Source organism: Homo sapiens, chromosome 4 (assembly GCF_000001405.40).
Source record: "Homo sapiens chromosome 4, GRCh38.p14 Primary Assembly".
Taxonomy (NCBI): domain Eukaryota; kingdom Metazoa; phylum Chordata; class Mammalia; order Primates; family Hominidae; genus Homo; species Homo sapiens.
Genome location: NC_000004.12, coordinates 4696350 through 4721718, shown reverse-complemented (window position 1 = coordinate 4721718; position 25369 = coordinate 4696350). Strand labels below are relative to the sequence as shown.

The following is a 25369-nucleotide window of genomic DNA, read 5'->3' as shown; positions in this document are numbered from 1 at the left end:
AACCCCAATGTAAACTGTGGACTTTAAGTTATAATAAAGTAGGCATATTGGCTCTCGTCAGTTGTAACAAATGCATCAAGTGAATGCAGGACACTGATAATAAGAACTTTTGGGAATGGAGGGGAGGGGCCACGGGAGCTCTGTATTTTCCATTCAATTTTCCTAAAAACCTAAAACTGCTCTAAAACATATAGCCTGTTACTTCAAAAACAAACAAACAAACAAACAAAAACAAAAAACCAGTTTGGCTGACCAGTAATTTTGTTCAAGAACTTCTGGTTGTTTTAACACATGTCGAGCCCCCTTAAAAATGTGTTTTCAGCAACCCCAGTTCATGAATGTGACCATCTGTGCTCATCTGAAGGCAAAGCAGGCCAGTATAATCCAGAGGAAAATCTATAGGCCAGCTCCATTTGGACATCGTGAAAATCCATTTCTCAGAATCCCTTCTCTCCTAAAGTGAATTTGATATGCCTTCCTTTCATCACCCATGGGGAGTTATTCTAAGAGGGTGGTCCCCCCGGGTTCTTTTTGTTATTTCTGGAGTTTGAAATAAGCTCCATGTGGTTATGGAGGAGAGGAAGGTACATGAAAGCTTCATAGGTTTCATGTTCCAGAATTCAAATATTTCAAAATCAATTATTCGGCTTTTTGGTGGAGTCTTCAAAACATGTCCTCTAAGTCATAACAGAGGCTCCTGCAGGGCCAGGGAGTGGAGCCACCTCTTGGTTGTCATCAGATGCGACTCACAGGCTCACGGCTGGCGCATCTGCCCGGGGACACATGCCTAGACATTGTATTCACTTGTGTGACATGCTGTCCTCTCCCTTTTTTTCCTCTTTTAATCACCCTCCAAACACTGGGAAGAGATTCACTACCACGCCCCTCCCACAACCGCTACCCTTCCCTACCCTGTTCTGTCCCTGGGGACACTCACAGGCACAGATCTGTCCAGATGCCAGTGAGAAGAGGCAGCTGGTCTCCAGGTACTGTCCTGAGTGCTTCCATGTATTGTATTGTTTACTTATCAAACAGTTTCAAGAGGTGTGTGTCATGATTACCCCATTTTTCTAGATGAGGATGCTGAAGCTGGAGATGCTAAGTTGTGCTATGCTTTAATCACGATCAGCAAGTGTTTATGACGTGCCTGCTTGAAGCTCTGCACTGTGCTGATAGAAGGGAGAGGGCTCAGGCTTGGAGACAGGCAGACCTGGGCTCTAATCCGGACCCTGGCCAAGGATGAGAGCAATGCCCAACTATAACCTGCTTCCCAATATGCCAACCGTTAACCCACTTTTGTTGAGCACCTACCCTATACCTGGAGCTGATCTGAAGGATTAGGGGGTGTCTGTCTGTGAGGAGTTTATATTCTTGTGGAATGAAACAGACAAGACCCAACACACAACATCAAAAAATAAGAAGCTGCATATGATGTATCGAGTGTTCCTGGCATGTAACCTGAGCAGTTGCACCAGGCCCCATGCATAGAAGGGACCCCAGGTTGGCTTAATGCTCTGCTGTCTCTATCTTGAAATTCTAAATCATGTTTGAACAGGGGACTCTGTATTTTCATTTTGCCTGGGGCCCTGCCAATTATGGAATCTATCCTGGCTCCAGGAGGGGAGAGAAATGACAGTGGCATAGGGGGATTGGGAGGCCTGGGAGAAGAGTGGGGGTGGCCTGCAGTGGGAAGAGATGGTCCAGCGGGCCTGCTTCAGGAGGCAATGGGGGGCTGTGCTCGGTTCCCGGGGCTGCTGCATCACAGGGCCACACCGGACACCTTCAGACATCACAGATTCTCTTCCTCCCCATTCTGGAGGCCGGGTGGCAGCAGAGCGGATTTCTTCTGCAGACTGCGGGGGAACCTGCTCCAGGCTCTCCCTCAGTTCTGGTGGTTGCTGTCAATCTCAGCCTCCTCCTTCCCATGGTGTGTCTCTGTGTCCCTGAGTCTCCACATAGCCTTCTTATAAGGGCACCACCCGATACGGTTTCATGTGTGTCCCCTCCAAGCCTTATGCTGAAATGTGATCCCCAGTATTGGAGGTGGGGCCTGGTGGGAGGTGACTGGCTCATGGGGGTGGATCCCTCACCTATGGCTCAGTGCCATTCCCTTGGTGATGAGTGAATTTGCATTCTATTAGCTCATGTGAAAGCTGGTTATTTAAAGGAACCCAGCATCTCTCTCTTGCCCCGTCTCTTGCCATGTGGCACGCCCACTCCTACTTCACCTTCTGCCAAGATTGGATGCTTCCTGAGGTCCTCACCAGAAGCAAGTGCCAATGCCATCCTTCTTGTACAGTCTGCAGAATCCTCAGCCAAATAAACCTCTTAATAAATTACCCAGCCTCAGGTATTCCTTTATGCCAACGCAACATGGACTAAGACACCACCCTACTCCAGTATGACCACCTTTTAACTTGGTTATGTCTGCAAAGACCCTATTTCCAGATGAGGTTGCATTCATAGACACCAGGGATTAGGACGTCAATGTATCATTTGCGAAGGGACACAATGCAGCCCCCATCAGGAGGTGAGCCCCATGGCTATCAGGGAAGGTGCTCTCAGCAGAGGGAACCAGCAGCACAGAGGCCCTGCGTGTGCAGCCACAGGTGACCATGCTTGCAGAAGCGCAGAGCCCAAGGCAGAGTGAGTGAGGGGAGGGCACAAGTGGAGGAAGCCAGAACCAGGCGTTTTCCGCATAATCCCCCTGCAAAGCAACAGTTATTATTCCTATTTTATTGATTAGGAAACTGGGGTTCAAACCAGTCAATTAAGTAACAGATACACTCTGTGGTACACCCCGAGGGACCTGAGGGGGAGAGAGAGAGACCCTCTGGTCTGTTCGTTCATTCACAAATGGGGCACTAAGACCCAGGGAGGAGAAGGGACCCAGGGAGGAGAAGGGACTCACCCCAAATTGGAACCTCCACCCAGGCTTTTGCCTCTTGTCCTCATGGACCTGTGAGAGGCCTTCAGACCTGCTGGACTTCTAGGCATTTCAGAAGGAGACAGACCACAGCATACTCCACTCTGCTGAGGAGTACATGATGGGAGAGAAACAAACCCCATCTTTAAAGGTGTGCAAAAGCAATCAAGGGGCAGCCTGTGGATGGGAGGCCCTGTGTGCAGGGGCCAGAGAGTCCTGTTTCCCTCCAGCTTACACTCATTGAGAGACACTCATTCATTGACACAGAACAGTTCAGGAGGGTGGCTTGGTTGGGTTCCCCTGGAAGCAGGAGTGAGATAGGGCCAGCAGATGCTGTGTTTGGGAGGTGGTCCAGGGAAGCTGGCTGAGGGAGGAGAGCATGAGATAGGGAAGGAGAAGCCCAACAGAGGGTACACTAGTGCTGGGCCACCACTGTGGCACTTGGGCTCAGTCCTGCTGGGGACCCGCCAAGGAATAGAGAGGAATCCACCTAGAGTTGTTCCAACAAGCCATGAGGAAGTTGGGATATTCATCCACCAACTCCTGTCTTTCACTGGGGGATGTTAAATCCCTGGACTTCCCAGCTGTCCTGCAAATAAACAGGCCAGGTCTCAGGGCACCCCAAAAGGCCCCAGGCAGAGAAGTGGACTCTTCTGGAATTGTCCACCATGGCCACAGGAGAGTTCAGAGGAGCCCAGGGATGACACCCGGGCATCAATGATTGCCTGCCTTGGGTTTGTGGAACATGAGCTGAGTGAGGACAAAAGGAGAGCCATCCCTTGAGTTATCCTTCACATGCAAGCCATCCCTGCCTGGTACACAGCTAGGGTGGAGGAGATGCTGGGGCACGGAGGAAGAACTGTGCAGTCAGCACATTCCGTCAGCTAGACCTGCTGCATTCCGGTGACTGTGCACACACTGGGAATCCATTCCACAGGGCCAAAACATTAATTAGTCATTTGATTCAACCAACTGATACTTCCTGAATGCCTTATCTGTGGCAGACCTGGTTCTGAACAGAGAAATATAAAGAGGTTCTTTCTTCCAGGTGAGAGAGATAAATTAAGAGATAATGCTGTGAGCGAAACGTTATGGCAGAGAAGAGCCCGGATGCCAGCAGAACGGAGGAGAAGTCCCTGCCACTAATGTTGCATGGGGACATGGGGACATGGGGACAGGGGTGAAGAGTTAGGGAAGATTTCCAAAAAGAAAGAAGTCCAGCTGGATCCTGAAGGAGGAGTGGAAGTTCACCAAGAGGAGAAGCTGGAGAAAGGATGCACCTGCTGTTTCCTGTGGAGGGGGAGCAGGTGGAGACCAGGGGCCACAGTGGTGACCCAGCATTAGCGTACCCCATGTTGGCTTCTCCTTCCCTATCTCATCTTCTCCTCCCTCAGCTGTTTTCTGTGGAGGAAATAGCTGGAGCAAAGGTGTGCAGACCCATAAGTCAAATGATCTGGCCACACTCTGTCTGCTGTGCTGCATGACTTATACATGTGATATGTGTTGCTGTTTCCTAGTCAGGAGTTCCATGTGGCAAGAGCCCGGGCTGGTGCACAGCTGTGTCCTAGCACTGAATCCAAGGCCAGGTACACAGTAAAAACTCCTTTGTGCATGTTGGATTCTCCACTCTTGGATAGAATCCTGGAGATTTATCTAGAAGAGAAATGCAAGAGGCCAGTACCTTTTTCAGGCTGTGGACAGAGAATACTCATCAAATGCCTTAACAGTTCATGCACGCAATCTGGTCTCAACTGTGGAGTGAATCCCACCAGCTGCCCACCCACCTCCCCGGGGTGGATGTATTATTCCGGGTCACTGTTCCTCATCTGAAATAGGGATGATGGAGAAGCCAACAGAGGGTGTGCTAATACAAGGTCACCACTGTGGCACCTGGGCTTAGTCCTGATGGAGACCCTCCAAGGAATAGAGTGGAACCTACTTAGAGTAAAACCTTGCAGCGGTGATGCAGGAATGGCATGTGAGAAAATGCTTAGCACAGCTCTCAAGAGATTATGTTTACTGTGCAAACTGACAAGCAAAATAAGCCAGTCCAGAGAAAGAAAAGGAGAAACAGACTATGAATTCGACCTACCAAGTGGAGCCATGGACAGAGAGTATGACCCAGGGGTTCTTAATTTCCTGGATGTCATGAGTTCTTTAGCAGCCTGTGTAAGCCTAGGGATTCTTCTGGGGGTGGGGAAAGGTAACATATAAAATAAAATGGGCTGGGCATGGTGGCTCACGCCTGTAATCCCAAAACTTTGGGAGGCCAAGGCAGGCAGATCACCTGAGGTCAGGAGTTTGAGACAAGTCTGGCCAACATGGTGAAATCCTGTCTTTACCAAAAATACAAAAAACTAGCCGGGCGCGGTGGCGGGCATCTGCAATCCCAGCTACTCGGGAGGCTGAGGTGGAAGAATGGCTTGAACCAGGGAGGTGGAGGTTGCAGTGAGCTGAGATCATGCCACTGCACTCCAGCCTGGGCGACAGAGTGAGATTCTGTCTCAAAAAAAATTAATTAATTAAAATAAAATAAAGAGGATTATCAAGGAAAGCAATTATAGTAAGATACCGTTATCAAAATATTTAAAAATACATTTGTGAAACAGTAACATATGTGCTGCTTTTTTCATCCCACTAGAAGACACCATCCAGCATCAGAGCTAAGGTGCTCATTTTGAGGCAGTGATGGGCACAAATGGTCATAACCATGTGATGTGAAATATCTGTGATTTCTATTTGTGACAAATTCACAGGTATTGCTAATATTGCTCTGGTTTTTGTCTATATTCATAAGTGGAGGAAATGCTAAATTTCAATTCAAGATTAATAAAACTAAAGATGCAATGCTTTTCATTCAAGTGTAAGAGCTCCCCAGAATTCCACATACAACCCTTGAGCATCCGTAGCTCCTAGGCCGAAAACCCTTGCTCATCCTATTCTGAGAGCAGGTGCTTCTGCCTGTTGTTTGCATGAGATATCTTTCCCTTCCCCATTATCCCAATAAATCCCCCTTTGATGCTTGAGGGAGCCTGCGGATCTCTGTTACTTGCAATCAGAAGAAACTGGTTTAAATCTCTGTCTATATTTCTACCCTCGCAAGGGCATTGGCAGTTGTCAAACATCAGCTTGCATCCTCCTTCCACCTCGTGAGCATCAGGATGGTTTCTTTCTGTGTTGTTCCACGAGTGCCTAAGAAGCCAGGGGAAGAGCCTAGCATGAGTGAAGTCTTCCTGTGGCCAGGCATTAGGCCAGAGGACTTATCATAGCCCTGCCAGGCAAGTGGCCTATTTAGCAGATGAGAAAACTTAAGACTCAGAAATGCCGGGAGACTTGCCTAAGGCCACACAAGTGAAAGGAGTGAAGCCAGGGCTCAGTTTCAGGTCTGACTCAAAGTCCATACACTCTCATCCCTTATATCATGGGAACGAAAGGACTTGACACTGTGTATGTTTTTTATATTAAAGTATGTGAAAAAAGTATGTGACTCCATTTAGAAAATTGGAACTGCCCTTCATTTTGTAATAATTGTATTGTATTGGGGGAAAATGATACATACTCAACCATCTCTGAATTTGAACACTTCAACAGGTTGCTATAGATAAAATACACACACAACACATGCACACACAATGTACACACAACACACACACACACAAACAATGGAGAAGGACTTGTGAAGATGAAGGGAGAGATTAGAGTGATTGAGCTACAAAACAAGGGACCCCAGGACTGCCAGCCGCCATCAGAAACTGGGAGAGACAAGGAACCAGCTCTCCCTGTAGCCTTCATGAGAGTGCAGCCCTGCCAACCCCTTGATTTGAACTTCTAGACTCCAGAACCAAGAGAACAAATTTCTGCTGTTTTCAAACTACCAGTTTGTGATAATTTGTTAAGGCAGCCACAGAAAATTGATACTGACCCCAACACATGAAAATTTGAACCCACTTTATCCCCACTAAGCAGAACAGAGGATTCTGCTCTTCTCAGATTTGAGGGTTCAGCATGCTTCCCCCATTGGAACCACTTAATCATCTGTCCATGGCACAAGGACTACAACAGCCTTGTGCATCCCATATCCCCAGAGTGTGGTGAGTACTTATTGAATTGCATTATACACCTTTATCACTAATCACTTGGGGTTCAGGTATCTAATTCATGGATTCAGATCTCAGCTCCTACACTCACTACAGCTTGGTAACCATGGCCCACTAGTCTCTGACTAGTCTCCGCTGACTCCTCTGTTTCCAAGGGGATAGTTATGACCTCATAGCATTGTCATGAGGCTTCAGTGAAGTTCAGGGAAAGTTCCTCAAGAAGTGGCCCACTGCTTAACAGAAGCTCAAAATCTCTTTGCTCCAGCCAGGGGTTGTGACTTAAGCCTATAAATTTTGGGAGGCTGAGGTGGGCAGATTACTGGAGGCCAGGAGTTCAAGACCAGCCTGGCCAACATGGCGAAACCCCATCTTTATGAGAAATACAAAAATTAGCTGGGTGCATTGGCACATGCTTGTAATTCCAGCTACTCGGGAGGCTGAGGCACGAGAGTCACTTGAACCTGGGAGGCGGAGGTTACGGTGAGCCGAGATCATGCCACTGTACTCCAGCCTGGATGACAAAAATAGACTCCATCTCAAAAAAAAAAAACGACTTTGCTCTTTTCATCAATAATTATAATATAATTATAAAAGAAGGAAATGGCTTTATTATTAGTAGAAGAAAATACTTCTAATTGAATTAGAATAGAATTATTCATCTATAATAATTATAAAAAGAAGGAAAATGATTATATTATTAATAGTAGAAGAAAATCTGGGTAAGTACTGGAAAACTGAGTTTGTTTTTCTAAAAAAAAGTGTTTATTTACTTTATAACACTAGACTCTTCAAATATATAATCAGATATACAGGTTAATGTAATAACCACCTATGTTCGCACTACCTAAATTTAACAAATATTAGTACTCTGGTATATTTGCTGCTGATTTTTCATAATGTTCCTGTGTTGTGTTTTTCTTGTTTATAGGATTTGTAGATATTTCTGAGTGATAATTTGTGCCTTGTCTTTCTCTGTCTCTCTCTCTTGTTTTTTTAGTGTTAGGGTCTGGCAACATTGCCCAGGCTGGTCTCAGAACTCCTGGCCTCAAGCAATCCTCCCATCTCAGACTTTCAAAGCACTGCTATTACACTGTAATCCTCTTTTTCTTAATCAGTCTTATAAGAACGCTATCAATTTTATTGGCCTATTCAAATCTCAAACCCTTGGCTTTATTGATTCTATTGAATGTTTCTTTTCTATTGTAGTAATTACGACTCCCACCTCTATTATTCCCTCCCTTTTGCATTATTTGTGTTTATTTTGTCTGTTGTGTAACTGCTGTGGTCTGATGTTTGTGTCCTCCCCAAAGTTCATGTGTTGAAATCCTAAGTCCCAAGGCAATGGTATTTGGAGGTGGGGCCTTTGGAAGGTGATTAGGTCATGAGAGTAGAACCCCTCCTGAATGGGATTAGTGTCCTCATAAAAGAAGCCACAAAGAGCTCATTGGTTGCTTCTGTCATGCAAACACAAGAAGCATGTCTACAAACCAGGAAGCTGGCCTTCACCAGGCACTGAATCTGCCAACACCTTGACCTTGGACCTCCCAGCCTCCAGAACTATGAGAAATAAGTTCCTGTTGTTTATAAGCCATCTAGTCTATGGTATATTGTGATAGCAGCCCAAATGGATGAAGGCACTAACTTACTTAGGCAAATACTATTGCACGATAGGCTCCCTCTAAGATCTGGGTACAGGACGTGCCTGTAGGATCAGTCCCTGTAAGGGAGGGAAACAACCAGGATGGGGCAGAGGGAGAAGTTGAACTGCAATGCAGACCCAGCAAGGGCCTCTGCCAAGCCCAAAGGGTCAAGCACTGGTACTGGGATATGCCATCTGGTTCAAGGGGTGTTCTGTGTCTTCTGATATTCTTTATTTGTCCATGTGGCATCCATTAGTCACAGACCAAACTTATGGCCGAGTTGTTTCCTGCTGCCCTGAGATTCAGAGCTCATTCTGAACCACTTCTCTATCTAACTCACACACCAGTCAATATTTCCCTGCCCTAAATCAACCCAGGGCCAGGTACCAGACAACTAGGACAGCCCCTGTGGCCCAAGGACTGCCAGAATTATTCAAGCTAGACAATCCTAAGCCATTGCCTCTGCCTTCCCTTTCCTGCAGAAATTCTAATACAATCTCTTGCCTAGACTTGGTCCTTGCTCCTGCTGTATGTCCTGACTAATCCAGGTGCTTCCCCACACGGCCCTGTGTGACATGGCATGCCCCCTCCTCTTGGGAAACGTAAGCAATGAAAATCTGTCAAGGGGACCATATACCAAACTGTTAATAGTCATTTCCTCTAGGAAATGAAATGAAGGCATGATATTCAAAATTTTTTAATTTTCTTTTGTAGTACTTGATTTTTAACAGTAATTGTGTATTGCATTTGAATTGAAAACAAAACTTAAAATCTTAAAAATATAACAATACGTTCTTCTGCTGCTAATGAAACAATAAAGAAATATAGAGAAACCAAAAATCTTTCAGGGCATTGGCCTCTCTGTGCTGGCCCCCAGTCACCTCCATAAATTAAAATTCCACAGGTATGACTGAGGAATGCGGCCAGACCTTTATTCTCTCATCAACTAGCTATTGGATGTAGACCATCCCTGAGAAGAGAATGTGGCCCGGACAAGGTGGCTTTCATTAGTCAAGGGCAGTTTCCCAAAAAAGACTCAACTGAAAGCTGTTGGCTGCAGGCATTCCCAACAACTGAGGCAATGAGGGCTTCAGTCCTGAATGGGATAACCTGGGCAATACAGTGTCTGTTACAGATGTTTCCATTTCCAACCTTTCTTTCTTTCTAATATTTAAGACTAAGAATCTCTCTCGAAGCATACCCTTAGCTGCATCCCACAGTTTTTTATATTCATTGGCATTTTTATTTGGATTTTCTAAATTTTATTAATTTGATATTCTAAAGTATAATTGCTGAGCTTCCTAAAATTTGTGAACTTTCTAGTTATCTTGCTTTCAGAGGCTTTTGCAGCCATTATTGTAATTTACTCACCCAGATACGCTAGAAAAATTTCACTGGCTAGCCAGAAGATTAAATTAACCAGAATGTTTTTTTCTAAGCATTCTGGGTAATTGTCAATTTGTTGCTCCACAAAGGAGTGCTAATTATGGTATCTGTAGGTCATTCAAGCTAAACGCTAATATTTCTTTCTTCCCACTGCAGATCAGCCATGTGGCCTTGGGAAAATCTTTCAATAGGTTAAGGTCCCAGATGCCCTCTTGGTAAAATATGGAAGCAAATCTTATTCCCTAGAGAAGAAATATGAATTCATGAATATACATACATATTCATATTCACACTCGAGAACCATTTTCATTTCAAGTTTGTGACTTTCTAATAATAATCACTAATGCAAACTGAATACTTCCTATGTGCCAGGCATTACCAACTGCTTTATATGTATAAACCCAATCCTCACAACAACACTTTGCAGAAAATACTGTTATTAGCCCCAATTTACAGACTGCGATCTGAAGCACAAACAGGTTAAGTAACTTGCCCACGGCTAGCAGATAAGAACTAGCAATGTTGGGATTTGAACCTAAGAAATCTGCCCTTAGAATCCACATCTTTGGCCACTATGTTTTATTCCCTCTGAGCAAGCCAAAGATTAGCAACTTATTATAAACAATATTTTTATTTCTGGGGAAATTCATATAGTAGCTCAAAGATATTATTTTCTTTTTTATCCTGTTTCCCATGAAGTTTGCTACAAAGCAGAATTCCCTTTTGGTCCATTTAATTTGGCATCAAGTATTTTATTGGTCACACATCCATTTTATTAACATTTCATATGAAATTTCAGTATAATTGCACTGGTTACATTTTCCGACAAAATTATTTTCACAGCAGAAAGAACAAAAAAGATGCAGCTTAGCGGAACCACTGTGTTTGAAATCAGGAGATAAAAGACAAATAGACAATCTCTCTTACAAAGCATACTTCACCCTTCCTTCCTAGAGAAGGGGATCACTGAAAGATTCTCAAAAGGGTCCTCATCACAGTTCAATTCAGAGTCTTAGGGGGACATCAAGGGAGGTTCCTTGACATTTCAATCCTCTGATCCCATGGAAACTGTGAAATCAGAAGCAAGTATGCTTAATTTACAGAATGTCAGACCTGGTTAAGAATCATCAGTTTAACCCTCATCAGGAAATTGAGGCTCAGTGGAGCCGTGTCCTATTGAACATCATCCAGCCAATTAGCATCAGGTCTCAAGTGGGTTTTCTGGGGTTTGCACACACAGTTTCCTCACTAGTTCCGTCCAAAAAAAAGAAAAATAAAATAAAGCAGGGTTTGAACTTGATTTTATCTTCAACAAAGTGGCGGAATTGAGTCTTAAAATGTTTCAGTTACCAAAAACCCATAAAATAAAAGAGTAAGACATCAGGGGAGCATATGTGGGAAAGAGGACTATGAACGAAGCAGTCCAGAGGTCTCACCAAAGAAATGGCAGAGCATCAGGCCTCCATCGCCCGTCAGCTTCTAGAAGACCCTAACTTCCAGAAAAGACAACTCCCAATATCTAATGCAACCTTCGAGTCTGTGTTGGCAAATACACAAATGCTTCAAAAAGGCAGTGTGGCCATTCATTAAGAAGTTTTAGATGGCCTGTAATCCTAGCTCAAAGGAAATTAATGTTCTCTTAAACAGTTCCAGGTTTCCTGGTCCAAGCCAGAGGTCTGTAGTGCTTGGAGAGATATTACTGGCTTATTAAAAATTATATGGAAAGAAGGCAGGCGGCCAAGTCTGATTGTCCTCATAGACTGTAAGCAGCTCCCATTAGTCCTGGCACCAGAACAGCTAAGGCTTTTCACACGCTTGTGGGTGAGGTACAAAGTGTATACAACAGATTACTGTATGCGAAGAGAGGAGCGGGGTCTTGGTAGAAACACATGGGGGCTCCCGGTCAATGAACTGGCAATGACATTTACCAGCAGGTGGCCTTCAGGAAGCCTTGTTACCCAGGTGAATCACCTGAGTCAACCAGTGGACACCATGGTGGACAAAGTGCTGAGACCCAGATCAAAGTCCCTGCTTTGCTACATATGAGCTATGTTATCTTTGGCCACTCACCTTGTTTGAGCCACTATTTCTTTACCTGAAAAATGGGCATCATGATGTAAGCACGACAGAGCTAACAGGAGAAGTCAGTAATGTCTGTGAATAAAGCATATGAAGGCTTTATCATCGATTGCTATTACTTTTAATAGTATTATTTCCTAATCTCCAACTCTGAACACACAAGAGTATCCACATTCTGAGGCAAGAGGTATGGTGCCTAGCCTGAGTGGGGTCAGAGACTGAAAATGTCAAAAATGGCAAAGTTAAGTTCTGATGAAGTGGGAAATATGGAGCCATGGAAGGCTTTTCACCAACAGAATCACATGTTGAATTGGGGGCTTAAAAAAGATGGGTTTCACAGGATTATGCCAAGTTTACTAGAAAATGAGAAAGACCTAAGTTGGGAGGTCAGCTCAGAGATAATTATAACAATGCAGGGAGCAGAGAGAGGGAGAAGGAGGAAATCACCAAACACCTAAGGAATGCTCCGAGATGAAATACAGAGACACAAATAAACAAACAAGGGAAAAAAGTAACTTGGGGAAAACAGACTATAAAAGAAAGAGGAAAGATATTACATCCATGAAATAAGAACAGGCTACTATATAAAAGGAACAGTCAGAGAACACTTCCCTCCACTCCCCTCTCCAAAAAAAGGTATTTTGGAATTTAAAATTATAATCACAGAAAAGATAAAAGTTTAGAAGAAAAAATTTGAGAAAATATCCCAGAAGGGGGAGAAAAGTGGCAAAGAAAAAAATGGAAAAAAGGAGGAGAAAAGATAAGAAAATTAAAGCTCTGCTCAAAAAATTCAACATATGAATAATAAAAATTATCAAAGAGGAAACAAACCAAATAAGAGAGAAAATCTCCAAAGAAATAATCTTCAAAAATACTCTCCAGATCTGGAAAATTGCTGCAGTTGGCTCAGAAAACTGCGATGCTCTCACTTTGAGATAGTAAATACAGTTTGGAAAACTCACTGAGACAAAGCAAAACAAAACACCATGCTTTGGCTCTGGATTATTTATTGAGAATCACAACATGTTAAGAGCAGCAGAGAACATAATAACTGCTCGTGATCCCTGGTCAACCCACTAAGAATTTATATTCCAGGCAATCACACTGCCCCTGCAAGAAGGAAGCTATTGTGTGAGAACTATGCAGTCAGGAATCAATTTTTAAATCAGGAAGCAGAAAAAGCTCCTGGCTTGTTATAAAGTAGGAATACTGATATTCTCTGGAAGAAAAAAAACTTTCACTCAGTGAAGGATTCCTTGTGTCTCCTTCTGGAAGCAGTATTGGCCTTCTGCATGTGGTGAGAATGGTCGCTATCCCAGAATCCTTCCCCCACACCCCTTGCCTTCCTCTTTTAAAACATCTCCATGCAATGAAATAAAATAAATGAAAACTAAAGAAGCCTGAGTTTAATAATCAGGGGATATAATTCAAGTGTAGCCAGTTGGACAACTTTTCTGTTAATCAGAAGAATAACAGTTTTTCTCCTAGTTTTCTTTGTAAAACATAAAACTCAGACTCGGCACAGAGGCCACATAGATGTGTGGGAAGAGTGTAGATTCAGAATTGAAGCCTGGCTTGCCTTGGACTCACCACATCTCCCAAGAAAAAGCTCAAGACCAGATTTCCCCTAACCCGACTATATTAGAATCATTTTCAAGTCCTCTTAAGAATTCAATTCCCTTTGGTTTCTAAGATTTATCTAAGGAAAAGAAAAAAATTTTTTTAAAGAATTTATATTCTCAAGCCCCACCCCAGGCCTTCTGAATCTCAGCCTCCAAATATAAGAGTTCAAAAGCCAGGCTTTTATAGACTCTCCAGGAAGCTCTCGAAAGAGACCAACTCTGCTCCTGTTGACACCCAACACTGGAGAATGCTGTACTCGGAGTTCTTTCCAGCCCTGAGATTCTAGGATAAGGCTGCCAATATGGTGATCCATGGGCTCAGTTTTGGGCTGGTGTTTGATTTAACAAAGCAGAGTTCAAGCAAGAAAATAAAAATGAAAAAGAGGATCAGAATTCACTCAGCTAGCAAGAGGAGCACCAGCTTTCTCTTTAGCTGAAGTCTCTCTTTCGGACTGTAGGAGATTGTAGAATTCTTTAATTCAGATTGGGGTGGAAATAGCTTTCTCTAATGGTGTGGGTGATTTGAAGAGCAATTAAGAGCTATGGTACATCTTTTTTTATTATTATTTTAGATTTAGGGGATACAGGTTTGTCACATGGGTATATTGCATGATGCTGAGGTTTGGGCTTCTATTGATCCTGTCACCCAAATAATGAACTTAGTACCCAATAGGAAGTGAGCCATCGTTCATCTTTAACTGGTACAATAAGACAGAGGGTTTATATTCAGGAGGGGTTTCTGCCTGGTACCCCTCACCTAATTGAAATGCATCCGGAAAAAAAAGAAAAGAAAAAAACAGAAGCAACCAGCTTAGATGACCTCCTTTTTGTTCCAGAGCTCCAACACAGTGGATATCTCATCACAACCCACAGCAAAGCCACTCCAGACCACCTGCGGGTCCCTATATGTACCCGTGCTGTCTCACATCTCTGGCTTTTGCATGGACTTCTGCTCTGCTTACAGTGTTCTCGTGCTGCCTCTGTCCTTTCATTCCCTCCACCTGTTTCACCAGCATTCATCCACCCACGTGTACCTAGTGATTACAGGCTCATCCTTCAAGGGCACCATTTCCACAAGGACCTAATGACTCCTCATCATTTTTCCCACTGTCCCTCAAGCCTTCTCATTGATAAATCAAAGCCCAAATGTGTAGCAGGTGTCTTTGGGGATACGTGACTGCTTTCACCTCTGGACTCAGTCCTCTTCCTTTGTGGCTCTAGACAGACTCCTTACCTCTGCCATGCTGCCCTGTGCCCAGGGGATTACCTCCATTATCTGTCTCAATTGATTTCCCTTGCCCTCTGGCTTCCAGCTGGGTTCAGGCAACAGGAAGCATTAGCAAGAACTGCAAGGGAAGGATGAGCAAGGCCCCATCCTGCTGGGCCTCAGATGCACAAGGTCTGTGCTGCTCTACAGAAGGGTGCAGCTCATGTTAGGTGGCCCTGCCCAGGCTTTGGCTACAGCTAATACTGGGTCCTGTAACTCTCCTGCCCCAGCCTTTTAAGTCAAGTGAGAAGGTCTCCCAGTGTCGCTAGTCTTGGGGTGCTTTGTCACATCTTGCTGGTTTCCTTTGAAACAGTCTCTTGGGCTGCCCTGTGTAAATGTGCCTTCCATTTCCTGGTAAGATCCTGACACAAGAATATGTAGCTTTGGGGAAGGAGGGCACCTTGATACTTCTCAGCTGGGGTTTCAATTCTACCTCTAGTCTGAGAACTTTTAACTCTGTTTCTGACCCTCTACTAGTGGAATGTTGGGAAATAATCTTGATTGTCTTGAAAGTGAGGCACTGAGGTTCCTCTGTTTAAGACTAGCTTGTTGATGTTGGTAAAGAAACAGCCTGAGACTATAGAGTGTCTTCTTCCAGAACAAAGGGTGGATTTGCTCAAAAAGTGTACTTATCAAATTGTACACTTTACCTATATGCAGTTCATTGTATGTCAATTATAGTTCAATAAACCTGTTTTAAAAGGCAGCAAATCCAGTAGTCTGGGGAACAACTTCTGCATTCAGGCTTATAACACAACCATCTACAAAAGCAACAAAGAGCAGACACATACACCTTGTTAGTGTATGAAGGCTAGGCTGCTCTAGTCCAAGGTTCCCAAAACACAGTGGTTCAAATAAGATAGAAGCTTTTTCTTCTGTCTCATGATAGTCCAGGGGAAATCAGGCAGCCCAGGGTGGGCAAAGGCCTCTGCTCCACAGGTCACTCAGGGCCCCAGCTTCCTTCCATCTTGTTCCATGCCCACATGATGAAAGCTGATCATCCATGGCTATCCATGATTACATTCCAGGCTGCAACCAGGGGAAAGAGAGATAAATTGGAAGGCAAACAATTTTCATTTAGGAAAATGTCGCTGAAATTGGCACACGACATTTCCACTCATATTCCACTGGTGAGAACATAGTCTCATGGCCATATCTTCCTGCAAGGCAAGCCAGGAAACATGTTTTCTGGCTATTAAAATCAGGGAGGCTGTTTCTCTTAATAAAAGGAAGGAGCATGTGTACTGGAGAGCAGTTAGCCATCTCTGCTCTACAATGTTTGGGACAGAGAGACAACACAAGTCTCCATAAATTCTATTGCCACACACTCAATAAATTGTATTGTCTTAAAAACTACAATGTGTTTACCATGACGAGTGGTAGATTGATTTCTTGGGCTGCTGTAACAAAGAACCATAGACCAGGTGGCTTAAACAGTGGCAATTTATTGTCTCATAGCTCTGGAGGCTAAGAGTTGAAAAGCAAGGTGTTGGGAGGGTTGGTTCCTTCTGGAGGCTGTGAGGGAGGATCCACTCCACGCCTCTCTTCAGCTCCTGGTAGCTTCAGGAGTTCCTTGGCTTCTAAATGACCATCCATCTTCTCCCTGTGTCTTTACATTGTCTTCTTTCTGTATGTGTCTCTGTCTCTCCATGTGGCTTTTATTAGGTAGAGTCTTGCTGTGTTACCCAAGCTGGTCTCAAACTCCTGGGTTTCAGTGAAGTGATCCTCCCACCTCAGCCTCCTAAGTAGCTGAGACCACAGGTACCCATCATTGTGCCCAGCTTGGCTTTTTGAAAAAATAAGGACACCAATCTCAGGAGGCTGAGGCAGGAGTATTGCTCGAGCCCAGAAGTTTGAGGCTGCAGTGAACTGTAATTATGCCACCACACTCCAGCCTGGGCAACAAAGCAAGACTCTATCTCTAAAAAATAATAAGAAGAAGAACACCAGTCATTGTATTTAGAGCCCACACTACTCTGGTATGACCTGATCTTAATTATTAATAATTACATCTGCTATGAACCTATTTCCAAATAAGATCACATTCTGAGGTACTGGAAGTTAGGACTACAGCATATAAATTTTGAGAAACACAACAAGTGGGAAAAGAATTGAATTTGAAGGCAAGAAACTCGACTTCCTGTCCAAGCCCTGCATGGCTGGCTGTGGAACCTCGGACAATCACATGAAGTCTGACCTCATTCGCCCCATTTGCTGATGATGAAATAACCACACGTTCTTCAAGGGCTGAGGTTAGAGACAGAGGAAACGATGTCTGCAACAGCAGAGAGCCAGCAGTAAAGGGTGTGTGCCTCTCGCTGGTCTGCCTTCCACCCTTCTCTCATTAAAAGGTCAACTCCAGAGGAAGATGGAGCTTCGGGCACTAGCCTGTCCTCTCTTCCTGGAGCACACTCTTCTGAATTAAATCTGGAAGAAGATTCTCCACACTACTCAAGTCAGAAGGGACCTCTTAAGAGAGAAACTACCACAGGGCAAAATACCTTCAATTCCCTTCAAGGGGAAAAAAAATCCCTTTTGGTCTGCAGATGGGTAATTGTATTCACTGTTTCCAAATGTCAAAATGCCAGCCTGGGCCAGCTTTCCACTAAGATCAAACATGCTCCTCAGGGCCTCCTCTCTACTGATGTGGATGCGCGTTTAGCCACAGTGGAAAAGGCTGATTGCTGAGTGGAGTGGCCTTGGCGGACTGCACCGCTCACACAGCAAAGGAGAGATTGGATGTTGACCTTCCTGCTAGGTCACACTCCGAGGAGTCACACCCAAACCCAGGAAAACCCTTCAAGCTACCAAAAATGTACAGTCTTCATTGCCCAATATGAAGAAATAAAAACTGGAATATCTCAGGGAAATAAGGCAAGCAAAGTTGTCCAGTCTACGTTCTTAGTTTTGTGATTAAAGATCAGACTAATTGTATTAGTTGTTTTAACCCTCTTGATAAAGACATACCTGAGATTGGGCAATTTACAAAAGAAAGAGGTTTAATAAACTCACAGTTCCACATGGCTGAGGAGGCCTCACAATCATGGCAGAAGGTGAAAGTCACGTCTCACATGGTGGCAGACGAGAGAAGAGAGCTTGTGCAGGGGAACTCCCCTTTATAAAACCATCAGATCTCATGAGACTTATTCACTATCATGAGAATAGCACGGGAAAGACCAGCTGCCGTGATTCAATTGCCTCCCACCAGGTCCCTCCCACAACATGTGGGAATTGTGGGAGTTACAATTCAGGATGAGATTTGTGTAGGGACATGGTCAAAACATATCACTGATTCTTTCCATGAATTGATATTTGTTATTAGTTTTAGAAATTAAATTAGTAGCCTAGTGTTGATGATGGCGGAGGGCCAAAGTGTATGCTCCTGGAGGGTGTGAAGGTGGTATGAGCTTTCTAGAAGGCACCCTGCAAATGCGCTACCAAAGCCTTTTGTGCCTTCAGGCTAAGGGAAGAATCAGACCAGCCTACAAAGTGGAAGGTGGTTTGTTCTGACTGTTTATAAGAGCAAGGAATGGAAACACCTAAACGTCCAGTGATGGATGTCCCCTCGGGGCTCATCTCCAGTGGGAGCTCACGTGGGAAGGCTTGCTGACAGCCCCAGCAGGTTCAGACTCCTTCTTCTCTGGTTCTGAAATCCCTCGCACACCTCCACCCTAGCAACTGCTTGCGTTAGAATCCTTTCTCTGGCATGTTTCTTTTAGCTTCACAGGGGTGGGCAAACCACAGGTGAGCCAGGCCATCACTCCTTCCTTCCTTCCTTCCTTCCTTCCTTCCTTCCTTCCCTCCCTCCCTCCCTCCCTCCCTCCCTCCCTCCCTCCTTCCTTCCTTCCTTCCTTCCTTCCTTCCTTCCTTCCTTCCTTCCTTCCTTGACAGGGTCTGGCTCTGTCACCAGGCTGGAGTGCAGTGGCACAATCTTGACTCACTGCAACCTCTGCCTCCTGGGTTCAAGTGATTCTCCTGCCGCAGCCTCCCGAGAAGCTGGGACTACAGGTGCTTGACACCACACCTGGCTAATTTTTGTATTTTTAGTAGAGACGGGGTTTTGCCACATTGGCCAGCCTGGTCTCAAACTCCTGACCTCAAGTGATCTGCCCACTTTGGCCTCCCAAAGTGCTGGGATTATAGGTGTGAACCACCATGCCCAACCTACCACCTGTTTCTTAAATAAAATTTTGGGTACGCAGCCACACCTATTTGTTTACATAGTGCCTGTTGCAGCTTTTGTGAAGAAAGCTACGTGACCTGCAAAGCCTCCAATATTTGTTATCTGTCCCTTTACGGAAAAACTTTGCCGGCCCCTGACCTATGCTATAAAGCCCTTCAAAGAAACAAATAATCTTACTCATGTCTGCATCCCATGAAGACTGAGTGGTGCCGCGGGCATAGAAGGTGTTTCGTAAATGTGTGTTGGGTTAATTCAGGAGCTTGAATCTCCAGACGCACAGTGGCTCACACACTTATGTGTGCATCAGAATCACTGTGGGCATTTGTTAAAATGCAAGTTCCAGATTCCCAAAAGTGTGATTTGAGAGTCCTGGGGTGAAACCAGAGAATATGTATTTTATTAACTACACATTCCCAAGGTGAGTCTGATGCTGATAGACCTTAAATTAATCCTGTCAAGAGACACTGATGATGACACAGGGAATCAAGTGGCTTTCTAGCAGCATAGTGGATGGACCAGATAACCTGAAAACCCTCCTGCTACTTGCTTAAGAAAAACTGCAAAACTTAGTTAAATGCAGAGTTAAGTTCATCAAGTCAAATAAAGGAAACTTGCAGGGCACAAAGGAGTGGCAGGAACTGACCACCAGAGCAATCCACGTGAGCTTACCTGTGGTTTCTCTGGGGCAGGGATTAGAGGGTAGGCTTTGGTAACTTAAAGGCTGGGGTGTTCATGGGCCAGCTGAGGTCAGGAGACAAGACCTGAGGCCCATGCATGATGGGGAGTTAGAATTGAGGACATCACCATAAAGCAGGGACCCTCAACAGATTATAACCCTGGAGAAGAGTGGGTTAGAAAAACCCTCCCACTGGCCCCAGCAGCTGCCCAACAAGCTGGTCTCTCTCAACTGTGTCATCCTTTAAGAATTTGCTGGGCGCAGTGGCTCACACCTGTAATCCCAGCACTTTGGGAGGCTGAGGCGGGCAGATCACAAGGTCAGGAGATCAAGACCATCCTGGCTAACATGGTGAAACCCTGTCTCTACTAAAAATACAAAAAATTAGCTGGGCGTGGTGGCAGGCAGCTGTAGTCCCAGCCACTCGGGAGGCTGAGGCAGGAGAATGGTGTGAACCTGGGAGGCAGAGCTTGCAGTGAGCTGAGATCATGCCACTGCACTCCAGCATTTGAGCAAGTTTCAAAAAAAAAAAAAAAAAGAATTCACACTCACTGAATGTAAACTAGCACAACCACTCATGGAAAACGGTGTGGAGATTCCTTAAAGAACTAAAAGTACAACTACCACTCAATCCAGCAATCCCATTACTGGGTATCTACCCTGAGGAAAAGAAGTCATTATATGAAAAAGATACTTGCACATGCATGTTTGTAGCAGCACAATTCGCAATTGCAAAAATATGGAACCAACCTAAGTGCCCATCGACGAACAAGTGGACAAAGAAAATGTCATATGTGTGTGTGTGTGTGTGTGTGTGTGTGTGTGTGTATATATATATACACACACACACACACACACACACACATATATGACAGAGTACTACTCAGTCATAAAAAGAAATGAATTAATGGCATTTGCAGCAAACTGGATGAGATTGGTGACTGTTACTCTAAGTGAAGTAACTCAGGAATGGAAAACCAAACATCATATGTTCTCACTCGTAAGTGGGAGCTAGGCTATGAGAATGCAAAGGCATAAGCATGACATAATGGACTTTGAGAACTCAGGGGGAAATGGGGTGAGGGATAAAAGGCTACAAATTGAGTGCAGTGTATACTGCTTGGGTGATGGGTGCAACAAATCCCACAAATCACCACTAAAGAACTTACTCATGTAACCAAATGCCACTTGTTCTCCAATAACCTATGAAAATAAAAAAAAAAATTTAGAAAAAAGATTTCACACCCATAGCTTGTCTGCATTCATATTTACTATTAGCATTGATACTCCCCATGTAGCTGATGAAACTTGAAGCAGAGAAATTTACCTAAAAGGCCAGGCTCATCTCATGAATCAATATTTGTTGACTGTTTTCGAAATTAAGGTAGTAGCCCAGTGTTGATGAGGATGAGTGTCTGAGATGCCCAGAAGAAGCATATGCAAAATTTCCTTGGAGATGTATCCCTCAACCTTAGCTGCAAGGTATGTCCGCTGAAGATAAGCTCACACACCACAGTCACAAAACAGTGGCAGCAAGCTAACAGACGCAACCAAGTGCAAATAACAGAACTATCATATCCTACTGTTTCTCGCCACTTTCCTAACAACACCTGGTCCCAGCCACCATCTCCTCTACCTGGGATGACTGCTTTTGCCCTTGTTGTCACTGCAGTGTGTTCACTTTGGCAATCAGAGTGATTCTGTTAAAATATAATCTGATCATGTCTCTCCTCTGCTCAAAATCTTCCGAAGACTTTTCCATCTAATGCAGAGTAAAAGCCATGAGACTTTGCATCCCCCAACCCCTCACTGTCTTTCAGTCCTCATTTTTTATAGTCCCACTCTTTCTCTCACTCTAGACTCAAGGGCATCCTGTGTTCCCCAATCACTCCAGGACTCTACTATTTGTTTTACTTATTCCATTTTTGTTTATTCATCTTGCTTGTTGTCTGTTTTCTCTGTTATATTGTAAGTTCAAAACAGATACTTTGTTTTGTTCCTTTGTCCCTGGTATCTAAAACAGTGCCTGGCACATACTAGATGCTCAGTAAATGTTGAATAAGTGAATGAATGAATGAAGACACAAGAAAACCACCGCAGAATTTGAATAAAAGATAGAACTTGCTCATACTAATGCTTTAGAAAAATCGCTCTTCACATTAGGACTGCAATTATTGCTCACCTACTGTATACATGTATGGATTTAATTGCCATGGCTACCATGTGAGGTCAAGAGGAAGGAAACTATTTTTATCCCTAATTTGTAGATGAGTACAAAATGCTTCCATGATTTAATGGCTCACCCAACTTCATACAACTGGTGGGTCTGAATTGGACCTATGCTTTAAGATTCCTCATTCTGACTCTTACTTTTGTATTTACCACCCTTCCCCTAGTTTCAAGTTTCAGTGTGAAATACCTCTTGACATATGAAGGATTTAGAGCTCGAAACCTCAAATCAAATGTTACTTAAACACCAATCCCAGGGATGAAATGTCATTTAATGAGGTGTCTAATGGCAGGATTATCTGTGAAGATATTTCACTAAGGAAGGGTGGGAGGCGGGAAGTGGCTGCCTCTGGAAGGTCAATTTTGATGTGGTTGAGGTGAGATGGGAAGCTCACCCAATGGGACATAGAAATCCTACCCTCCAGCCCAGCTCCACCCTCAACTAGCTGTATAGCAGCTGGCAGTTTCCCTGACTGCCCTGGGTCTGTTTCCTCATCAACAAATAGACAGAAGCTCAAACTAAAGTAATATTATGTCTTTCCCAGCCCTAAAGGCTGTGCTTAAGGAGTTGATGGCTGAGCTTGGGAGACCAAAGTGCTGATTCACTTTCTCTATTAAACACTTCATTGACAATTTCCCTGTGTGTGAAATAAACCCAAACACACTTCTCAGCCTCTCCAGTGACCCTCATAACTCTTAACCACCCACATTGTTTGACTGACCTGGTCCAGAGCGCCATGCTTAAAGCTCAGGGTTGGAGACCTGGGCTTGAATCCTTACTCCAGCTCTCAAGCTAGACGTCCCTCAGTGAGTGAGTTAACCTTCCCTTATCTGGAAAGGTGAGATCATCCCAGCTCCACCTGTGTGGAGGGGAACTCAATGGAATTAGTTCCATAAAGTACTGGGGACCCACCCATTAGAAGAAATTGCTTTCCATCATTGAGCATCATCAGACCTTTGGCTTGGGAGGGAACGTGATTCCAGGACTCACAGTGTTGTGATGGGAAGACCTTCATCAGTTCATCCCCCTGCTCTGAGCCAGAGTCCACCAGGAACACATTACATTTATGCTTTTGGCATGAAATATCTGGCTTTAACAACACAGACTTGCAGAGAAATGAAAGAACAGTTTGCAAACATCAACATCCAAAGGCCCAAGGAGATATTGCCAGCCACACAATCCATCAAAAATAAACAGTGATGGATTTTATTGGGAAGATGTGATTTGTTAGCAGAGCTTTATCCTGAGAATGCTTCCTGAGGCTTGGAGGCAGGCCATGTGGGGAAAGCGCTGCAGAATCCCTGCCCACTTCCCCAGCTCTTTCTCACACCCTTCTCTCCTCTGCCCCACTGCACTGCATCACACCTACGCTCTGTCACTTCCAGCACCACACAGGTCATTCTCTTTGGTGGACTGCTCCCCTACCCCACTGGGGCAAATTCTCCAAAATCAGTAGATCAGTCTCTGTTTAAAACTGACCTCTGGCCGGGTGCAGTGGATCATGCCTGTAATCCTAGCACTTTGAGAGGCTGAGGTGGGATGGTAACTTAAGGCAAGGAGTCCAAGACCAGCCTAGGCAACAGAGCAAGACCCTGCCTCTACAAAATTCTTTTTTAATTAGCTGAGTGTGGTGGCACCTGCCTGTAGTCCCTGCTAATCAGGAGGCTGAGGTGGGAGGATCACTTGACCTGAGGAGGTCATGAGCTGCAGTCCTGCCATTGCACTCCTGCCTGGGCAACAGAGTGAGTCAATAGATAGACAGGGAGATAGATAGATAGATAGATAGATAGATAGATAGATAGATAGATAGATAAGATAGACAGATAGGTAGATGATAGATAGATTAGATAGATAGATGACAGACAGACAGACAGATAGACAGACAGACAGACAGACAGACAGATAGACAGATAGATAGATATTTAGATAGATAGATAGATAGATAGATAGATAGATAGATAGATAGATAGATAGATAGATAGATCTGACCTCCCACAGGACAGGCCCCATCAGATTGGTGCCCTCTGGGTTGGCTCTCTTATCCGCCTGTGGATGCTGCCTTGTAGCACTTTTCACACTGGTGGCTCGTAAATGATTTGTATAATTCACTGTTTGGTGTCCACCACTCCCATGAGATAACAGGGAAAGGAAGAGCCATCTGTGACTGTCCAGTTTACTGCTGTCACCGGGCCTGGCATTTAGTAAGTTCCAAGTTGTCACATGAACAAATGAGAAGGAGGAGAACCAATATTTTTTGAGTTCCTCCTACAAGCTATGGTCTCATTTCTTCCTCCTTACCTTCAGGGAGGTAGAGCTTTCAGATGAGAAAACAGACTCACAGAGACAAGAAAATAGTCTAAGGTCTCCCAGCCAAGAAGAGAGGGAGTCAGGAGTCAACTCCAACATGACACAAAACCTCTCCATGACCTTTGCAGTTCCATCCTCTGGGATTCCAAGTGATCCCCTGTAGTCTGTGAAGTCACTCTGATAGGGGCCTCCACATTCTGGATATTAAGTGGGTATCAAGTCACTGGCATAAGGAAACATTCATGGAACACAAGTCTCCCTTTTCTTCTCAGTCCTGTGCAACTTTGAGAGTTTCACAATTTGCTTGAATATATCTTGGCAATTTCAGGGTGTGGAAAGGCTTCATCCCACTTTGCCTGACCCAGGAGTAGAGGATGGAGGAGGCTGAGAGGGGTTGGAAATGCCTGACCAGACAGAGCACAGAGGGGTGATCTGTGGGGCTCTCATGAAAGCAGACAGTGCTTAGTGAGGCAAGGCTTCCGTCGGGCACGGGCAATTCGGTGGGGTCACTGAGGCTTCAGTGCCAGCACAATGGCGTTCCGGGAGGCCGGCTGGAGGGAAAACAAGATTACACAAATCCCCCGGCTCATGGACTCATCAGGGTAATGAGGCTTGATGCCTGCTGCTTGGTGGTAAAAGAAATTAATTGTGGCTCCCGTGCCTGCCTCCCACAGCACAAGATGGAGCCTCTGGCTGCACATTTGTGGACCTGCTCCTAACACACTGGCCTTAACTGTGGCCTTGAGAGAAAGTCTTCCTCATTCCTTCCACCCTCCATCCATCAAATATTATGAAGCAGTCAGTCCTCCCTTTGAAATTTGCCTACTACCTCTCTGACCTTGATTGGAAGCATATACTATGTATAATGATTGTGATGACCAACATTTGGGTGTTTACAATATGCCATTCACATGCCTTATACCATATAATGCCCACAACAATCTGATGAGATGGGG

At 44.6% G+C, this 25369-nt stretch overlaps 1 protein-coding gene and 1 long non-coding RNA gene across 9 annotated transcripts in view; both read right to left on the bottom strand.

The window, feature by feature from the left end:
* LOC124900165 (uncharacterized) overlaps positions 1-25369 on the bottom strand; it is a 230445-nt gene that overhangs the window by 50857 nt on the left and 154219 nt on the right. The window lies entirely within an intron of this gene.
* The window catches only part of STX18-AS1 (STX18 antisense RNA 1 (head to head)), a 168808-nt gene continuing 154219 nt past the window's right edge, over positions 10781-25369 (bottom strand). The window contains exons 5-6 of the long non-coding RNA NR_037888.1: positions 15809-16046; positions 10781-12203 (exon numbers count right to left, since the gene is read on the bottom strand). This is a non-coding gene — a long non-coding RNA (STX18 antisense RNA 1 (head to head)). The remainder of the gene's footprint in view (positions 12204-15808; positions 16047-25369) is intronic.